Source organism: Homo sapiens, chromosome 9 (assembly GCF_000001405.40).
Source record: "Homo sapiens chromosome 9, GRCh38.p14 Primary Assembly".
NCBI classification, from domain to species: domain Eukaryota; kingdom Metazoa; phylum Chordata; class Mammalia; order Primates; family Hominidae; genus Homo; species Homo sapiens.
In genome coordinates, this window is record NC_000009.12 from 21,059,324 (window position 1) to 21,078,831 (window position 19,508).

Below are 19,508 nucleotides of genomic sequence, written 5' to 3' on the forward strand. Positions count from 1 at the left end.
GTTGAGTTCCTTCACACTGCTGTTCCTTCCTATAAGAGAGCTCAGGTATCAGCTCTGACTGCAGGCTCCACATCTCCAAATTTATATATCTGAGGGAGCTTTGTTCTTGCACGGTGTTTCAGGATACCTCTACTGGTACTTTCATGTGGTCTTTGCCACTTTTCATTTACTATTTTCCAAACATAAACAAAAGCTTTGTAGCATCACCAGACAGCAATACATACATTTACTTTTATAATGTGATGGATATAAACTATCTTCTATGAAAGATCAACCATCAGTTACATGACAACAAAGCAGTGGATATCCTTGCCTTAATTTGCATTTTTATGCATAGACTGTACTGGCTTGCCTTCATCTACTTAGGCTTGTCGTTGTTCCAATCAAGGATGACTCTGGGTGAAATGCTCGTTTAGATATTTGGCATGGTTTTCAAGGCTTTGTTTTAGCTAATTGTATTTTATCATAAACTTATATTTCAAAGCCCTTCAAACATGGCACATTGTTTAACCTCTCTGCCAATTTCCTGATGTCTAAGGTGAAGAAAATATTATCACAGATGGTTGTTAGCAAGATTGGTGACTGATGATTGGCACGGAGGAAGTGCTCAATCAATGCTTATTACCATAATGACCATAATCACCATCACCATCCTCTTAGGGAGAAGAAGGCCTAGCTGCCCCTGCCACTGACACACTTCTCTCTGGGGTTTTTGCTCTGTAAGGGCAAGAATGTTGCAGAGACTTGTGGATGAATGAGTACTGAAGCCAGTCAAGATGCTGTTTTAAAATCCTTTGAGATTTTATGCTTTGTAATTTTATTTAACTAGGGCAGATGGTAGTGTTGAATGCACTGTGAACACCAACAGTTGATCAATGAGTAATATTACCAAGAGTAAGGAATGAGGTGAGGGGGTGACATTTTTTGAGAATAAATTATGTGTGGGCACTGTGCTAGATGATGCGCTACTGTATACAAGGCAGGTCAGAATACAAGGCAGGCCAGAATTGTCTGAAGGGAAAAGCTAGTCATGATGAGAAAAACTAAAATGAGTGGAGTAAAAAACCACCATATGATATTAAAGACAATAACAATCATCCTATATACTGAATAATATTTTTATATAAATTCTCATTATGGACTAAATGTGGAGCAATTATACGATCCTCATTTTACAAGAGAGGAACCTGAATCTCAGAAACCCAATCTTACCTGCTAAGGTTGGGTAAAGGTTAGAGGGACTGTGCTCAAAACTGGAGATGACGAAGAGGTTTAATCCCAAATCAATTGGTACTAGTCTTAGGGAGTGAGAAGGATTCAGAGGGCTTCATCTGGGCTAGGTGAAAAGAGTGCTGTAACCCGCTAGCACTGTCTGCTATGGGGTAAGGCAGCTCCCCTTCGAGCTGCCATCCCCATGTAAATGTTAAGCTATCTTAGTATGTGTCTTGTTTGCTTGAGCGTGAATGAAACAGGATATAAGTTTGGAGTGAATAAGGGGAAATTAAAAAGGCAAGATAGAAAAGGTGACCACAAACTATGAAGGAAACTGGAAAAATGATAATGATTTCTGTAGGCTAATCCTGCTTTCACAATCTGATATTAGAAAACAAAAAACACCACTTTTTTCTTTTCTTTCTTTTTTTTTTTGTAATGGACAATTTCTAAGATAGAAAATTCAGGGATAGTGATTTCCAATTGAACTTCTAACTGTGCTCATGGGGCAGTCCCATAGCCTACCAACGTTCATCTTTATGGAAGAGGAGCCTGAGCATGCAAGATGGTCACATCTCTCACAGTGCTTTTGGGAGGTCATGAATGGAAATTAAAAGCTATTATCTCAAATATGAAATGGCATCAAAATCCTAAACTATGCAGTCCTAACTGCAGGGCCAGTCAGCACCTGCTTCACCATAAAACAAAAAGGCAAACCATCATCTCTTTTTATTTTTACTGCCTGCCCTCCACGTTAATGTGCTACATGTGCTTGCCTTTGCTTAGCTAGCAGTGGAAAACCACTTCCCCTCTCTGTGGCCCTGAAAATGACAACCACATGTTGTTCCAGTCTTTTCTCTCAGTTTTATTTTCCAGGTCTTAACTCATGATTGCCCTCTGGGTTTCTGTAATGGTAAGGGAATGTTTTCAATTGAAACAAGAGTTCCTCCCAAAATGAAAGAACATGAAAACACAATTCTTCATCACATATTTGGTAAATCCTCTACTCTCCATTTGAAATTCAGAATTCAGGGGTTAAATTACAAGAGCGCTTTCAAGTACAGCTTGAAAAAACTGTGTTTATCTGAAATCACAGGCAATCTTTATGTGAGCCTGGGTATTAAAACTGTTTAAATGCAGTTTTTTGAGGAACACTTTTGAATGGAAATGGAGTCTATTGAAATAAAAACTTTAATTAAATCATCATTTAGCTATTATGAAATAAAGACCTGATTTCATTAGTGCATTCTAAGTTGTAGTTGCTGTTAAACATTTAAAAAAAATTGTTTTACTAATTATAATACAAAATGACTCTCGAGTTCTTTTGTATTAACTCCTTTAATGGTACCCAGGAAATTCTGGGTGTAGGATCTTCTCTTCTTTTTTCCATCAATTTAATAAATTCCTGCTTATCATCAACATGAAAGTCTGTTTGTATTTAACAAAATTTAAGTTTTCCTCTTCTAAATCCAGTATATTCTCTTATTACTAGGGCTTAATCTTTGTTTGAGTAGAGGTGAGTAACCCGCATAGCCAATAATAACAACTAACATTTGTCAAGCACTCCTTACCTTATGTATCAGAAACTGTGCCAAGGGATTTAGATGTAATATCTCATTCCTTAAATGTTAAGAGGTAGATCATTAATTAGCCAGTTTTTAAGGTAATGAAGCTAGACCTCAGAGAGATTAAGAAATTTGTCCAAGTCACACAAATTTATAAATGTTGGAGCGAAAATTCAAACGTAAATGTTCTTTAATCCAGGCCTTCTGTTTTAGATCTATAAAATCCAGCAGGAAAAGTCCTTTACATTCACTTATAATCTTAAAGAGAGATAGAAACCAGATAAAACATTAAAACTTTGAGTGATAGAAGTAAAAATCACATAGGCTCAAGCCTCTGAAATCCCCAATGGGCCCCTAAGAAATCCTGTAGAACGATTTGCCCAAATGAGCCAGCAGCAAAGAAGGGAAAGGTACTGAAGCCTCCTAAATCCCAATCTGGTGCATTTTCTACTAATGATATAGGCTTATGAGTGAGTAATTATACTTTAAAATTACATCAAGGTGTAAAGTAGTATCATTATGTGATTCTCAGAAATTAAGTTTAGGCTTATAACTATATCAAATAGAGCTTATGCTCATGTTCTCAGTTATCTTGTTGTCAGGGACATTGTGTAGTAAATGGAATGTCAGGATACAGCGAGAGCAAATGACTCATTAGGATTGTGATAGGATTGGAGACAATATATTTCAGTCCTTAAAACTGAGATAGCTTTATTATTACTACATGATTGTAAAAATCATTACCTGCTACTGAATGTGTTACATATTCAGAAAAAATACAAAGAAGAAAATTCATTCACAAATTTATCACTCAGATTTTTACCTTACTATTTTTATATATTAAATTCTAGGCTCTTTTCTATTCATATATGTATGGATTTTCCCACAAAATGGGGTTATATTATGCATATTGTTTAGAATGTATCTCTGTCACTTAACAATATGTTGGCTATGGAATACTTTCTGAGTCAACACACAGAAATCTAGCATAATTTTTCTTAATTAGTATAATTTTTATTAGCATAATTTTAAAAATTAACCTTCGAAGGTTAGAAATGTATGTTTTTCTCCTAAATTTGGAGTGTTTACAAAGTCTGAACCAATAGACACCCTTGTATAACACCTTTTGAAAATGTGTCTAATTCATTTATGCAGCCAAAAGACACATGAAAAAATGCTCATCATCACTGGCCATCAGAGAAATGCAAATCAAAACCACAATGAGATACCATCTCTCACCAGTTAGAATGGCGATCATTAAAAAGTCAGGAAACAACAGGTGCTGGAGAGGATGTGGAGAAATAGGAACACTTTTACACTGTTGGTGGGACTGTAAACTAGTTCGACCATTGTGGAAGTCAGTGTGGTGATTGCTCAGGGATCTAGAACTAGAAATACCATTTGACCCAGCAATCCCATTACTGGCTATATACCTAAAGGATTATAAATCATGCTGCTATAAAGACACATGCACACGTATGTTTATTGAGGCACTATTCACAATAGCAAAGACTTGGAACCAACCCAAATGTCCAACAATGATAGACTGGATTAAGAAAATGTGGCACATATACACCGTGGAATATTATGCAGCCATGAAAAAGGATGAGTTCATGTCCTTTGTAGGGACATGGATGAAGATGGAAACCATCATTCTCAGCAAACCATCGCAAGGACAAAAAACCAAACACCACATGTTCTCACTCATAGGTGGGAATTGAACAGTGAGAACACATGGACACAGGAAGGGGAGCATCACACACTGGGGCCTGTTGTGGGGTTGGGGGAGGGGGTAGGGATAGCATTAGGAGATACACCTAATGTTAAATGATGAGTTAATGGGTGCAGCACACCAACATGGCAATGTATACATATGTAACTAACCTGCACGTTGTGCACATGTACCCTAAAACTTAAAGTATAATTAAAAAGAAAAAGGAAAACAATGTCAAAGAAAACAAAACAAAACAAAACAACAAAAAGGAAAATTTGTCTAATTATTTCCTTAGGACAAAATACTAGAAAATGAATTGCTGAATCAAAGGGAATATAGTTTTAAGGCTTTTGGCAGCCTTGTTTTCTGCTGCCCTCCACTATCATACCAATTGCTAAATATTTGAATATCTAGAATAATATAATATGAAAATTATATTATTTTGTATTCAATGCATTTTTTTATACTAATGTTGGGTGCTTGTTATTTCTAAAGCATGGAGTCAATGACTATTGGTTGCTTTTCAAAGCTAATTGATGTTTGACACAGATTCCTACACTTTTCTAAAAAGCAATCTCTCTAAAATAAATTTACAAGGGATATTCTTATTCTCATTTATAGATGGGAAACCTGAGAAGAAAGAACATTAAAGGTACTGACTTTATTGACTCAGAAGAAATTAGTTTCTTTCCAACCTAGACCAGGCACTGATCAAAAGTACTGGCTGGCTCTCACCAAATGGAAGAGTGCCAGATATTCTAACATTGGTCACTTTTTGTGATTCTTCTTCTTCTCTCCTTTTTAATTTTTTTTGGAGTTTGCAGATATTTAGTTTTACTTTTATTAAAAATGGTTTTATAAATAAATTTTTTTATTCACAAATACTATGTGTTCAATACTGATGTTAGGTACACTTGTAACAATTCCATCCTGTTTCACCTGCCTGAAGTACAAAAACAAGCTCACATTCTTCTCTCTACAGTTATTACTGCATCACATGCACAAGTGTAAGAAAGATTTATACAATGCAATTAAATGAAAAAACATTCTTTCTCACTTTTCCGTCCCTACTTCCAATCTACGGAAGCAACTTGTTTTTCGTTTTGTTTCTTTTCTTTTGCCATTTATTATAAACCATGTAAATCTACATAATGTACCAAAATCCTTATTGATTTACCAATTTAGACTATAGCTTTTGACTTCATGTTCTAACTATAGTTTATTTATATCACTTTCCACCTCTCCTCTTTTCTCCCGTATTTTGTTGGATATTGCTGCAGCTGTTTTTATAACTATTACCCATTCTGTATTTCTTTGTTTTCCTTATTAACAGAGGCAATGTGTCCAGCTATAAACACATTCTAAGGCTCCATATGAAATATCAGAAACTCTGAGAGATCTTCCACTTCCTAATTCAGATAATACCCCTCCTACTTGATGAAATGTGGAGGCAATGCTTGCAGGTACAACCGTCATGTTATAGCCGTGAGTTGACAAATATAACAGTGACATGGTAAAAATAATAGAGCAGAAAAAGAGTGCCCAGCTCCCAGGCACATCATTAGAAAGCTGGCCTGCTCTAACTGCCTCCATCTAGATCTTTTGTAGGTGGAGAAGACAAACCCCTTTAGTTTAAGCTACTGCTAATAAGGCTGTTTGTTAGCTGTAGCTGAATGCATTCCTAACAGAAATAGTTATATTATTTTCATTCTTCATTGGTTCTTCACTGATAACTTTATAAGTATAATAAAATAATACACTGTAGGAATACATGTGAGTATAATGATACACTTAAATCTCTTGTTTCTTGTTTTATCTTCATTAGACAATATCTTATGACTGATTCCACTCTTTAATTATGTGTTTACTGTTATATTCAAAGAGATGCTGGAACGAGGAAGAGGTTAAAGAGAGATTATTTGCCATCTTGAACTAGGAATATCACATCTCTTTTGTATACTTAATTGGCTCAAGCTTCACATGACCTAGAATATTTTCCCCTTTCCTCTGGGGTACTTTCATTCTGTCATATAGCTCAGATGCTCTAAAAAGCCAGTGTTTCTCCCAAAGCATGGATAGCAGGATGCCCCACACCACAACGATCTTTGTTAGCTATTGTGGCCCTGTGCTACTACAGACCTGGACTTCCATTGCTGGAGTTTTCAAGTGTATGTTCACATTTATCCATTATTTTCAAAGCAGATTCCAAAAATGAGGGTGATTGGATCAAGAGAGATATATTGTCGGTCACATGAAGTGCCTGGAAGATGCTTTTGCTCTTCTTGCATGGTACTCAGCTGCCAGTCCAGATTCTTCCATCTCTCATGGTGCATTTCCTCTTGAGGAGCCCTTGATGATTCCTGGAAGCAGAAAGTCTCTACCCATCAAAACCAGAACAATCAGAGGCTTCAGAATTTTTTTTATTTTTGGCTGGAACTGTCTTAGTTTGGGGGGATTGTGTATAGTATAATGAAAGTATTGGCAGCCAGTAGGTTAGATGAAGATGAAGATTGCCTCTGGTGGAACCAAGGGGGATTTGAAAAGGGTTTACCTTTCATTCAGATCTATGAGTTATGTATTCAAGTATTCATTCATTCAACAAATGTTGATAGGTGGTGTGGTGCAATTAGTTAGTTGTGGAATCAGAAAGACCAGCCTGTCCTTGAATACTTCCCCTGCTCTTCACTGATCCCTGAACTTGAAGCAGATTCCTTAATTCTCTACTACTTGCTTTCCTCCTTTCAAACACAATGAAAATGCTATCTTATAGCAACTCAAGGGTTAGCAATAATATATGTAAAATACTCTTTCTCTCTTCTCTAATCACGGAGCAATAAGGGTGTGATTCCTGAGTGGCCCAGTCCCCCTGCCTCCTCAGGGAGAAGTATAAAGAAAGGAGGGGAGAAAAGATTTCTGATAGAGGAAAATCTCCAATTCCTGTTTCTGAGACCCCTGAGCTGCCCTTCCTGCAACAATTGCTTTGATGCTATGAGCAATTCTATTCTTGCAATAGATCCCATTTTTACATATTGTGGTTGGAGTTGAGTTTCCATCACTTTCAGCTGAAAGGGTCCTGAGGGTGGCAGCTGAAATCCTCTTTTCTTTGAGGGCATGTGGATTATTTGGTGAAAATAATGAAAGCTGAGGGAGAGAAGGCAGGCTCATCACTACGGGTAAAGCAGGTTGATATTTGTGATTGTCTGCTTTGCCAGCTAGGGAACCCAGTCCTGGGCGTCAAGAAGGACTTATCTTCATTCTCTGCTTCAATAGCTCTCTAAAACCTCTGTGAACATACTTATCTTGCCTTTAACTGCTCATCTTCTGCAATAGGACTGAGCTCCCTGAGGGCAGGCCTTGTGGCTCTAATGCCTTGAATGTTATAAGCTGTCCAACTCACATGTGTAGAATGAATAGTGTGTAAATAAATATACAGAAAATTAAGAATTTCTCAATTGTCACTCATGTGAATGTCTCCTAAATACAGTCTTTCCACTTAATAAATAAAAAGTTACTAAATAGTACCATTGCCTGAGCCAATTAAAGTTTTGCATATCTTAGAACCTTGCCTCTGCTATTTACTCACCAGTTAAAGCAAATTATTTAAGTTATCAATCCCCAGATCTCTAATGTGCACTTTGACAAGTATATATATATTTTTGAAATTCAAATGCTGTATTGAGAAAGATATAATCCATGCAGAGGGCATTATGACTAGTGTGCTTCTGGGTTAACTGTTTGGCCAGGAGGGAAATAATATTGCAACTAGTTGAAGATCATCGTTTTGGAGCACCTCCAGACCTTATTACTGCATGGTCAGACCTGGGGGAAAGAATGAAAATGTATTTCCTTCTACTTTGGTTCAGTTGATAGGCTATTCTCTATTGGAGACAAACTGTGTTTCACACACAACCAGCTGGGTGACCACTTAATATCACAGCAAGATGCAATCAGGCAGTGGGTTCCACAGGGTCCAGTCTTCTCCCAGTTGATCGATGGGAGCAGTTCATTAAGGTCAAAATATCAGAAATGTAAATAGTTCTTTCACTGCTTCCCTCCACCACTGTTTTCCCTTTGGGTTATTATCATTTATCACTTCTGGCAAATCAAAAAGAGAGAGAGAGAGAGGAAAAAAGGAAAAATCAGAAGAATGTTTAGACTGTTGGTGAAAATGCTGCTGCTGAATAAGATGATGTCTCCTTGGAAGTTACCACAGCTTGATAGCCATAATCCCTTCTCAGAACCTTTAGAAGGCTTTGTGGCCCTGTCTGAGTGTTCCCAAGTTATTCCGCTGGTGGGTTGCCTGTGTTTTTCCATTCCCAATTAATGACTGGATAAGGAAGTAAGAACAGAATAGGGAACAGGGGCTTATTAGGGACCAGTAACGGTTCCCTGTGACAAGACATCTAACAGATGAAACACTGTTCCTGTCATCCTTTTCATTTCTGCATTTATGTGGCTGGGTTACCAGGAGATAGGGAGAGAGATCAGTCTAGAAGTCCAGTATGGGGCACCAAAGCTAGTGAGATTTCCAGTGGGAGGCTGAGTTCAGGCAACAATGTCTGTGAAACTGAGCAATGAAAGAGAGAAAGCTTATTGGACATGCAGTCAGAAGATAAGAGCCTAGGTCATTTTCTAATTATACGAATATATTTGAGATGCCCATGGACTTTGTGTTAGGCTCTTATTGACCAGACAATTACATGATCATGGTGTCATGGTGTTGTTTTTAATTACAGAGATAATTGTCTGAACTATCTGGGAATTTCTACAGATTTTGTGAAATTTTACTTTGGATAGGGATGGGATGCTTTAAAATAGAGGCTCTTATATTTCAGCAAGAGAATAATAGGTAACAATTGCCTGCAAAGAAGAAAAAAAGCTACCATTTATTGATAGTATATGCCAGGAGTTTTTCTGGACAAGTCCTACACAGGTAGTAGATGCAATGGAGGGTTATTTACCTCTCCCACTTCCTTCTTTATACATACCTGCCAAGCCAATGGGAGCCTGAGATGAAGTCAAGGGTTTTGAATGAAGCAATTTGAAAATGAACCCTTCCTTGTCAACTATTACAGAAAGTATTATAATATAACCCAGGGAGGTTGAGCACTTGCGACTTAATAAACACAATTAAACCATAAGAAATAAGAACAAATTTAGATAAACAGAAAGAAAATGAATTTTTCATGCATACCACATTTATTATTTCAGGGGTGTGGCTTATAGTAGGAAAATAATCCATGGAACTCAAAGGTATATTGGAGTTTAGGAGAGATCCCGTTGCAGCCTGGAGGGGAGGAAGCTGTATTGAATATTGCTTTCCTCCCTTGTGTGGCCTACTCTTCCTTAATAGATGCTAAGGTGCCACATATGCCTGATAGACACCAATTGGTCTAAAGCCAGTTCGCCAAATATAAAATATATCATGCTTTAAACTATTTATAAGGCTTATAACAAATATAATGGAAGAAGTTATTTTAATAACCCTTGAATATTTCTATGGCATTTTATTATTTTAATTTATTTTTTAAATTGACAGATAAAAATGGCATGTATTTATTGCATACAACATGGGGTTTTGAACTATACATACATTGTGAAATGGTTAAATCTAGCTAACAAGTGCATTATCTCACATAGTTATTATTTTTTGTGGTGAAAACACTTAACACCCATTCCCTTAGCATTTTTCAAGAATACAATATATTATCATTAACAATCACCATGCTGTACAATAGATCCTTTGAACTTATTCCTCCTATGTAACTGTAATTTTGTATTTTTTGACCAACATCTCCCCAGCCCTCTCCTGCCCATCCCAACTGTCCCAGCTCTGGCAACCATCATTCCATGCTCTGTTTCCATGGGATTAACATTTTTAGATTTTACATGTAAGTGAGATCCCGTGGTATTTACAAGGCCCTGTGTTGGACCAAGTCATACATCCCATTTTTTGCATTTATTTCTCATAGAAATCTTGAAGAGTTTGGGGTATGATTGTTTCTAATTTATTTAACTTGCCCAAGACCATACTGGTACAAAGTGGCAGAACCCACAGTAGCTCTCAGGTTTGTATTATTTCATGCCCTGTGTTTTTGCCATCAGAGTATAGGAAACTTAAAAAAAAAAAAAAAAAAAAAAAAAAAACTTTGTACTTTCAATGCACAGACTTTCAATTCATGCATTTCTAGATTAGTAAATCATTTTCTGCTTTGAAAGTTATTTGTTTTACCTCTGGACTTTCATAAAAAGAAAATGAGCCAAGAAATTAAAAAGTGAAAGGAAAGAGAAATTTGCTGTGTATTTCCATTAAGTAATGTAAGCCATTTTAGTTTTTAAGCATTCCTGTGAGATAACAAAATCAGCTTGTGTCAGACTTGAGAGGGAAACTGCACACAGGGCTGTCTTGCTAGTACATGGATAAAAATGTAGTGCTCAAGAGAAGGAAATGCAGCCTTGCCAAGGGAAAAACGATGACTCATGATTCAGACAGTTGCTTACAAAAACCTTTGGAGAAAATATTCTCCGTAGAGTCTGGCAAAGGAGCAAATGGGAATTTCCTGCTATTCTCTTTAGAAAAAGGAAGAGAGAGAGAGTTCCCTTCTGCATGGGGATGGAAGGAGACCAACTGCTTGAGTGAGGACAGCAGTCCTTTCTGCAAAAGATCCCCACAGGCCACTGGACGTTAGTGCACCCACTTGGAGCAAAACCAGGAGTTGTGCTGTGCATGAGCTGCCGGGCAGTAGAGCTTCTTGTTCCTTCTCTAAATTGCAATATTTGTGCTATGTAGTTGGGTAAAAATAGCATTTTGGGTGGTAGTAGATGATTACAGGTAGTTAAGAGTATAGTCCCTGGTTCCAAATATGTCTCTGTTCTTTACCTACTGTGGATTTGGTCAAGTTACTTAACCTTACTGAGCCTCAGTTTTCTTATGTATAAAAAGGAGAGAACAATACTTACCTCATAGATGTTCTCTGGATGATTAAATAAGATGGTCTGTCTATCTATCTATCTATCTATCTATCTATCTATCTATCTATCTATCCATCCATCCATCCATCTCTCTAACTATCATCTATCGAGCTAGCTAGCTAGCTAGCTAGTTCATCCTCAGCAGATCCCTTGCAGAAAGTAAGTCCTTAAGAAATGTAGCTGTTATTGTTGTGTTTGCATTGTACTATCATTGCAAATATTTCCATTATGAAGACACAAGTTAAAAATAGTTGCCTTGATGATTTCTCATGAAATTAAATATGGAATTACTGCATGATTCAGCAATTTTATATCTGGGTATATAGCCCAAGAAGTAAAAGCTGGGACATGAATAGATATTTGTATACCCATATTCATAGCAGCATTATTCACAATAGCCAAAAAAAGGAAGCACACTAAGTATGCATCAATGGACCAATGAATAAACTAAATGTGGTACACACACACAAACACACACAGCCTTAAAACAGAAAGAAATTCAGAAACATGCAACAACATAGATGAAACCTGAAGACATTATATTATACTAAGAAGAATAAGCCAGTCACGAAAGGACAAAGTTTATATAATTAGTCATATGAGGTACCAAGAGTAGTCAAATTCATAGAGACAGAAAGTAGAATGGTGGTTACCAGGGGCTTGGAGAAGGACAAATGAAGAGTTGGTGTTTAATGGCTTCAGAGTTGCAAATGAAAAAGATGAAAGAGTTCTGGAGATGAATAGTGGTGATGGTTGCACGACAATATGAATGTACTTAATGTTACAGAACTTAAAATGTAACTTAAAAAAGGTTTAAATGCTACATTTTATGTATATTTTGCCACAATATGAAAATGGGAAAAATCATTTCCTTAAGCACTGGAATTTGTAATATGTAACTTGTATTGCACTTGGTGCAGATATGCAATGTGTGAAGTGCTCTTGGCTTTTCCCCCCATAGTTTTAGCACGCAGGGATCGTGATCCACTTCTTGGACTATCATTTAAAATATGGAGTATTGCAAATGTGCCATAAGTAAAAACTTTTAACAATCTAACCTCTAACTGACAATGAACTTAGACTGTAAGATAATTTTTTATTTCTAAGAGCCTGTTGATTTAATCTCATCTTGGAGTCTTATAAAAGAGATCTTAAGACATCAAACAATGTATGTTGAGTTTAACAAGGGAACACAACAAGATGCTTTGGCTCCATTTTATTTATTTTTCAGTAAATTTATACTTTTTTATTTTTCGAGAGGTTTCAGTGAAGTACAATGACATGTAATAAACTGTACATATTTAAAGTGGACACTGTGATAAGTTTTAACATGTATATACACCCCTGAAACCATCAACACAGTCAAGATAGTGAAAATGTCCTTGCGCTCTCAAAAGTTTCTTTGTGTTGCTTTGTAATCTCTCCCTCCATCTCACTCCTCAGTACTACTGCCCCCACCCCCAGGTAACCACTAATCTGCTTTCTGTCATTATAGATTAATTTTCCTTTCTAGAGTTTTATAGAAATAGGCCAATACAAAATTTATTCCTTTTTGGTCTCTTTTCTTTTCTTTTTTTTTTTGAGATGGAGTCTCGCCCTGTCACCCAGGCTGGAGTGCATTGGTACAATCTCCGCTCACTACAACCTCCGCCTCCTGGGTTCAAGTGACTCTCCCGCCTTGGCCTCCCGAATAGCTCGGATTACAGGCAATCGCTATCCTGCCCTCTAATTTTTGTATTTTTACAGAGATGGGGTTTCACCATGTTGTCCAGGCTGGTCTTGAACTCCTGACCTCAGGGGATCTGCCTGCCTCAGCCTTCCAAAGTGCTGGGATTATAGGCATAGCCACTGTGCCTGGCCCTTTTGTATTCAGCATAATTTTTTTGGAGATTCATCCATGTTATTGTGTGTATCAATGATTCATTCCTTTTTATTGTTGAATAATATTCCATTGTATGGATATACTACAATTTCTTTAATCATCCATTTGTGATGGACAAACAAAGCTCCCACAAACATTCATATACAAGTCTGTGTATATGAATGTTTATACACAGAAAAGAATCCTTTCTTTTCTCTTGGATAAGTACTAGGGAGTCGACTGGTTGGATCATGTGGTAGGTATATGATTACCTTTTTTAAAAACTGCAAAAATGGTTTTCCAAAGTCATTGGACCACTTTTTGAAAGTTCTAGTTGCTCCACATCTTTGCCAATCCTTGATATGGTGAGTCCTTTTAACTTCAGCCATTCTAATAAGTATGTAGCAGTGTCTTATTGTTGTTTAATTTGCATTACATTAAAGGTTAACGTTATTGGTCCTTTCCTGTCTTGTTTGCCATCTCTGTACCTTCTTTCCTGAAATATGTGTTGAAATCTTCTGTTTGTCTTTTAGTGGGTTATTTGCTTTCTTATCACTGAATCTTGAGAATTCTTTACATATCAATACAACTTCTTTATCAGAGAGGTGACTTGCAAATATATTCTCTCAGTCTGTGACCTGTCTTTTAATCCTCTTAAGAGAGTCCTTTGAAGTGGGCTCCATTTTTTTAAAAATTCGTAGGCTAATTGTTGGGGGATATAATTTGAATAATGCGTTATAGGTTTTCTAGGAACACCCTCTACATGAATGTCAAAACAGAATAATAACTGAAACATAATTGTCTGATTTGGTGATAACTATGATGTGAACATGTTTTTGGAGTACTCTCCATCAGGTCAATTAACGAGTTAAATGGTTAAATGGATCCTACTAAATTAGGAGAGTATAATTTTGTGCTGGCACTACTAGTCCAATTTTTGAGTTTGTCTTAAACTATCCTAGTAAATTTTAGGCAATTAAACTAATGTTTAAAAAGCAACAATTAATGTTGAGAACAAAAGGACTCATAAAACAGTTCATTTTTTAGGCTCAGCAAGCACCAGTGCAATGTGTTTAGAGAAAATGTCTGCAGTCAACAAGGTATGGCTCTGGGTGACATTCATCTTCTGACTCTATTACCAGATGCTGGCTCTCTCTGTGTTTCCCACAGCCAAACCCGTCAAGAAGAAATCCATGTTGATGAGGGCCCCCACAGTCTGTGCTTGGCAGACCTCTCATGCATCAGAAATAGAGCTTGGCCAAGAGGGCTGGTGAACTTTGCTCAGAAAGGACAGAAGCTATGGCAGGTCCCCATGATGGAAAGGGCTCCCCTGGGACCAAATCATTTCACATTCATTATCTGACCTACACCACCAACAATCCTTGAGAAAGATTTTACCATGTTAATATACTAATTTGCTATTTGCATGTCTTCTTTGATGAAGCATCTGTTCCAATATATTATCCATTTTTATTATTTTATTTATTATGTATTTTATTGTTTTATTAGTGGTTTTGTTATTATTGAGTTTTCAGAGATTTTAAAAAGTATATTCTGGAGATGAGTCTTCTATCAGATATGTGATTTGCAAATACTTTCTCCCAGTCTGTGGCATGTTCTTTTCATTTTCTTAAGAGTATTTTATGAATAAGTTCCTGATCAGATGTTATCTGAATACTTGAACGTGTTTAATGCCACCTAAAATGCCTAAATAACACCTTTGTTGACTGCAAAAAAGACTATACAAATGTGTGCTGATATTGCCCTGCATCTGCATGTTCATATATTTAAGCAAAATTCATATATTTGTATGTAACCCAGATGTTCACCAGTGCCTTCTTACTGTTCAAGAGCTAGATAAGACAGTTCCATCTCCTAATCCAGCTTTGTGGATTCCTAAGGTGTGATATGGGAAGGGGGAAGGTGGCTGTGTTGTCATTGTTTTGCCTCCTGTTTCTTCTAATTTGGTTCATCTATGAAGATCTGGCCACCCCATGTTTGTTCAAACATGAGACCGGGCACTTTCTATGATTTGTACACAGAGGTTTTACGCAGAGGACTTTTTGTGGTAGCCATTTTTATTGAAGTTTTGGAGATGATGTCGGACAGAGTTTCAATACATCAGCGCACACAATTTCATGCTGCACATGAGCTACGCTGTTTGGAAAATTCTTTTTTCATTCCCACCAGCAAAATTTTCATTGTCTGACTTGTTCCACGTAGTGTCACAGTTCCAGAGCTTTGGGGGATTTCTGTCTGTCTCCTTTCTCCTTAAAAGCTGACACACAAAACATGCTATTGATATTTTACTGTCTTTTCCGTTGCCACACCCATAACCTCAAAATCTCACTAGATATTGAGTGAAGCCTCATTAGATATTTTTCTACAGACTCATTAGATATTTTTCTAAACAAAGAGTGTTTTCCTTAAGACCTTATTCTGGTGCCAGCCAAAGTAATATTATTATTTTACTTTATTCCTCATGCCTAGTCATCGGTTCAGCACATGCAAATGTGCACCTTTGGGCTAGTTGCCTTCATTTTTATTGGAATTAATTTTAATTGTTACTTATCTTCTACTGGTTATGGACTTATTTTTGGCATTCTGGATGGGTTGACATGCTAAGCTGTGATACAGTATTTCTAATTCTGCAGAAGTGGCCTCTCTCCTGTCATTCTTGCCCCAACACGGAGGTAGAGCAGGTCTTTTCAAGAACTTGCCAGTTTCTGGGCCAGTTTAGCAGTTCAGCTCAGAGAAAGCAGTGGACAATAGGGGCCCATTGCTGAGAGAGATTTCTTTAGTTTCCTCTTGGCTGCTCTAGACACTGCCTGGACTCCGCATTGCTACTTGCTGATCTTGTCCTTGACTCCAGGAAAAAGAGGAGTTCGGCTACAGAAGGGCTTTTGGCAGAGCAGGGGTGGAGAGCTGGGGGAAGGATGAAGCTTGAGGGGGGCTTGACTGGTTTGAGTCAATGGCAGCAGGCCCCCCATGATGACATTTCTTGTTTGCATAGCCCGTGTGTGTGTTATCCACTTTGAACTGGAAGGGGGAGCCCTGAGTTCATTGTCTACACAATAGTAGCTTCTCTGGAACTCTTAATGAACAGATTACTTCTCCTGAAAGCTGCTTCTTTTAAAAGGAATTCAGATTTCTTTACTGCTCTAGGAAAAAATGCCTAGATACAAATAAAGACTTTTATGATGCTTCTCTTTGAACTTCTTTTTAAAATCTCCATTCACTAGAGACTGAATGAAATCATTATGTGACCATGGGCAGTTACTAAATTTCTTTGAGATTTAGTTTCCTCTCCTGTAAAATGGCAATAATGTACTTGTGCCTACCTGAGGGGTGCTTGTGGAGAAGATTAAATCCGATTATCTATGTGGGATCTCAGCACAGTGCCTATTTCATTAGAATTTCTCAGTAAACAGCAACTGCTAATGGCAGTAATAGCCACTATAACCCAAGTTCCCGAGTTTTGGTACAAAGACAAAAACCTAACCAGTCAGTCCATGCTGACCAGGTGCCCAAAGAGCTCCTAGAAAAGCTTGATTTTTTTCCCGGTGTAAGCCCTGGGAAAAATTAATGCCCTCTCTATCCCACCTAAACTTCCCTTTCTCCTATGTTTCCTGGCTTTTTGCTTGGTTTGAAACTGGACTTAAACTGCTGCACCTCTTTCATTTGGCTTTAGGAACTATGTGGCGTCCGCAATGCAGAGCAACAGAAAACTGGACAGGACATTCCTGGAATTCTGTATGAACAAGGCAGTGGGGACTGGAAGCAGGCTTAGTTTTTTGAAAAACTAGGGAGAAAACTAACCAGATGGCTAGGGTATAAAAAGGTTCTTCTTCCTCTGATGCCTGTGCCATGCCAGCAGACAGGGACCCACAGCTCCCCTAAGATACCCACACATCTTGGCTGTCCCATGATGAGCAGAATAAAGAGATTGCTGCTTAATAGTGTCATGGAAGTAAATGGGACTTCTCACCCTTAAGCTTGCAGGGATGGTGGGGGGCACATAATTATTTAAAAATCTTTCGAGGAGCAAAGTATCCCCCAAATAACGTGGGAAGGTTAGGGAGAACACAAAAGCTGACATATTCCTCTGGCTATTCCTGATGGCCAGCTCAATTCTAACTTTATGATGAGAGAATCTGGAGCACACAGTAGGAGGAATGGGAACCCCAGGTTTAGTTCCAGACCCTCCAGCTTTCCTTTTCTCTTTTAATCCCACAGCAGTTCATGCCATATTTATTCCCCCATAAGGTTCAGGTCCCCTTATTGTCTCTTACCTTATATATTCCACATGGCTTTCTTGAATTTTAAATTCCTTAAAGGCAGGGGCCAGAAAGTATACTACTTTGCAGGTATATTTTAAAAAGAACAACTAATAGGTACTTGGCAATTTTATAATATGGATGGTTATATAAATCAAATCGAAATTAAAACTGCCATGTTGACTTTTGCACCAAAAATAATTTATTTTCCAAAATAAAATTTAAATAAATAAAAATAACTCATAATTTAATAAAAATTTCAAAATCTTCTAGTGTCCTTTCATATGCAGTACATTAGCCATCAGTCACTTAAACAGCATCTGCTGGTTGAAGAATGCTTGAAGCAATTGTCCAGTCCCAGAGGCACAGGCTAGGAGATCTTCAGTTTCGGAGGTAACCTGTAAGTCTGTTAATGAAGTAAAAGTTCCTTAGGATTTCCACTCTGACTATGGTCCAGGCACAGTGACTGTACTCCTTGGCCTTCAGGTAATGCAGAATCCTCCCATAATATCTTTTCAGGTGCAGACTGCTCATGAGTTTTCCCCTGGTGAAATCTTCTTTCTCCAGTTTTTCTTCCAGGACTGTCTTCAGATGGTTTATCTGATGATAGACATTAGCCAGGAGGTTCTCAACAATAGTCTCATTCCAGCCAGTGCTAGATGAATCTTGTCTGAAAATAGCAAAGATGTTCTGGAGCATCTCATAGATGGTCAATGCGGCGTCCTCCTTCTGGAACTGCTGCAGCTGCTTAATCTCCTCAGGGATGTCAAAGTTCATCCTGTCCTTGAGGCAGTATTCAAGCCTCCCATTCAATTGCCACAGGAGCTTCTGACACTGAAAATTGCTGCTTCTTTGTAGGAATCCAAGCAAGTTGTAGCTCATGGAAAGAGCTGTAGTGGAGAAGCACAACAGGAGAGCAATTTGGAGGAGACACTTGTTGGTCATGTTGACAACACGAACAGTGTCGCCTACTACCTGTTGTGCCAGAGCAAAGGCTTCGAAAGGTTGCAGTTAGAATGTCCTTTCTCCATGGGTATGGCCTATTTATATGAGATGGTCCTCTCTCTATTCAGAGGAATTTCCCACTTTCACTTCTCCCTTTCAGTTTTCCTATGTCATTTACATTTTAGTAGTTTCTAAAACTCTTTATTTAAGCTCCTATCTTATGATATATATAATAGGGAAAAAGATTTACAAACTGTGAGGTTTTCTAATGTTTTTTAAAGTTTCAGTGAATGACTAAAGCAAATTGTAAAACAAGACTTGGGAGAAAGCAAAGGAAAGCAAACGACCTGAGAATTCAAGAACCTCAAAACACTAAAAGATACAGTTGGTCCTTCCTATCCATAGGTTCTGTATCCGTGGATTCTACTGACTGTAGATGGAAAATATTTTTTAAAAATACAATAAAAATAATAATACAACAACAAAAAATAATGTAAATTTTAAAGATACAGTGTTACAGCTATTTAGCATTTATATTGTATCAGGTATTATAAGTAATCTAGGGATGATTTAAAATATACAGAAATACATGTGCAGATTATATGCAAATACTGCAACGTTTTATAAGAGGGAATTGAGCATCCTCTGATTTTGGTATCTGTGGAGGCAGCGGGATGGTGGTCCTAGAACCAATCTTCTTTGGATACTGAAAGACTGAGAGATAGATTTACTGAAAAGTCAATCAGGGAATAGTAGCTGAAACTGCAAGGAGTTTTGCCCAATATGATAATAGATTAGTGTGAGAGGGCCTTGGAAACTTCTGAAAGGCACTGGAATAGTCTAGGGTATAAGAAATTTTCAAACCAACCAGTCACAGCCCTTTTGATCCTACACAGAGGAGAAACTGCCACAAGTGGAATCACACTTCAGCAGGATATAAACAACACAGACAAGGATAGAGA

The 19,508-nt window shown here is 37.5% G+C and overlaps 1 protein-coding gene across 1 annotated transcript; it reads right to left on the reverse strand.

Moving 5' to 3' along the window:
- IFNB1 (interferon beta 1) lies at window positions 17,781-18,619 on the reverse strand. The gene has a single exon (NM_002176.4). It carries the CDS (start codon window positions 18,544-18,546, stop codon window positions 17,983-17,985), a length of 564 nt encoding a protein of 187 aa, NP_002167.1. The 5' UTR covers window positions 18,547-18,619; the 3' UTR covers window positions 17,781-17,982.
- Between the last annotated feature and the right edge of the window lie 889 nt (window positions 18,620-19,508).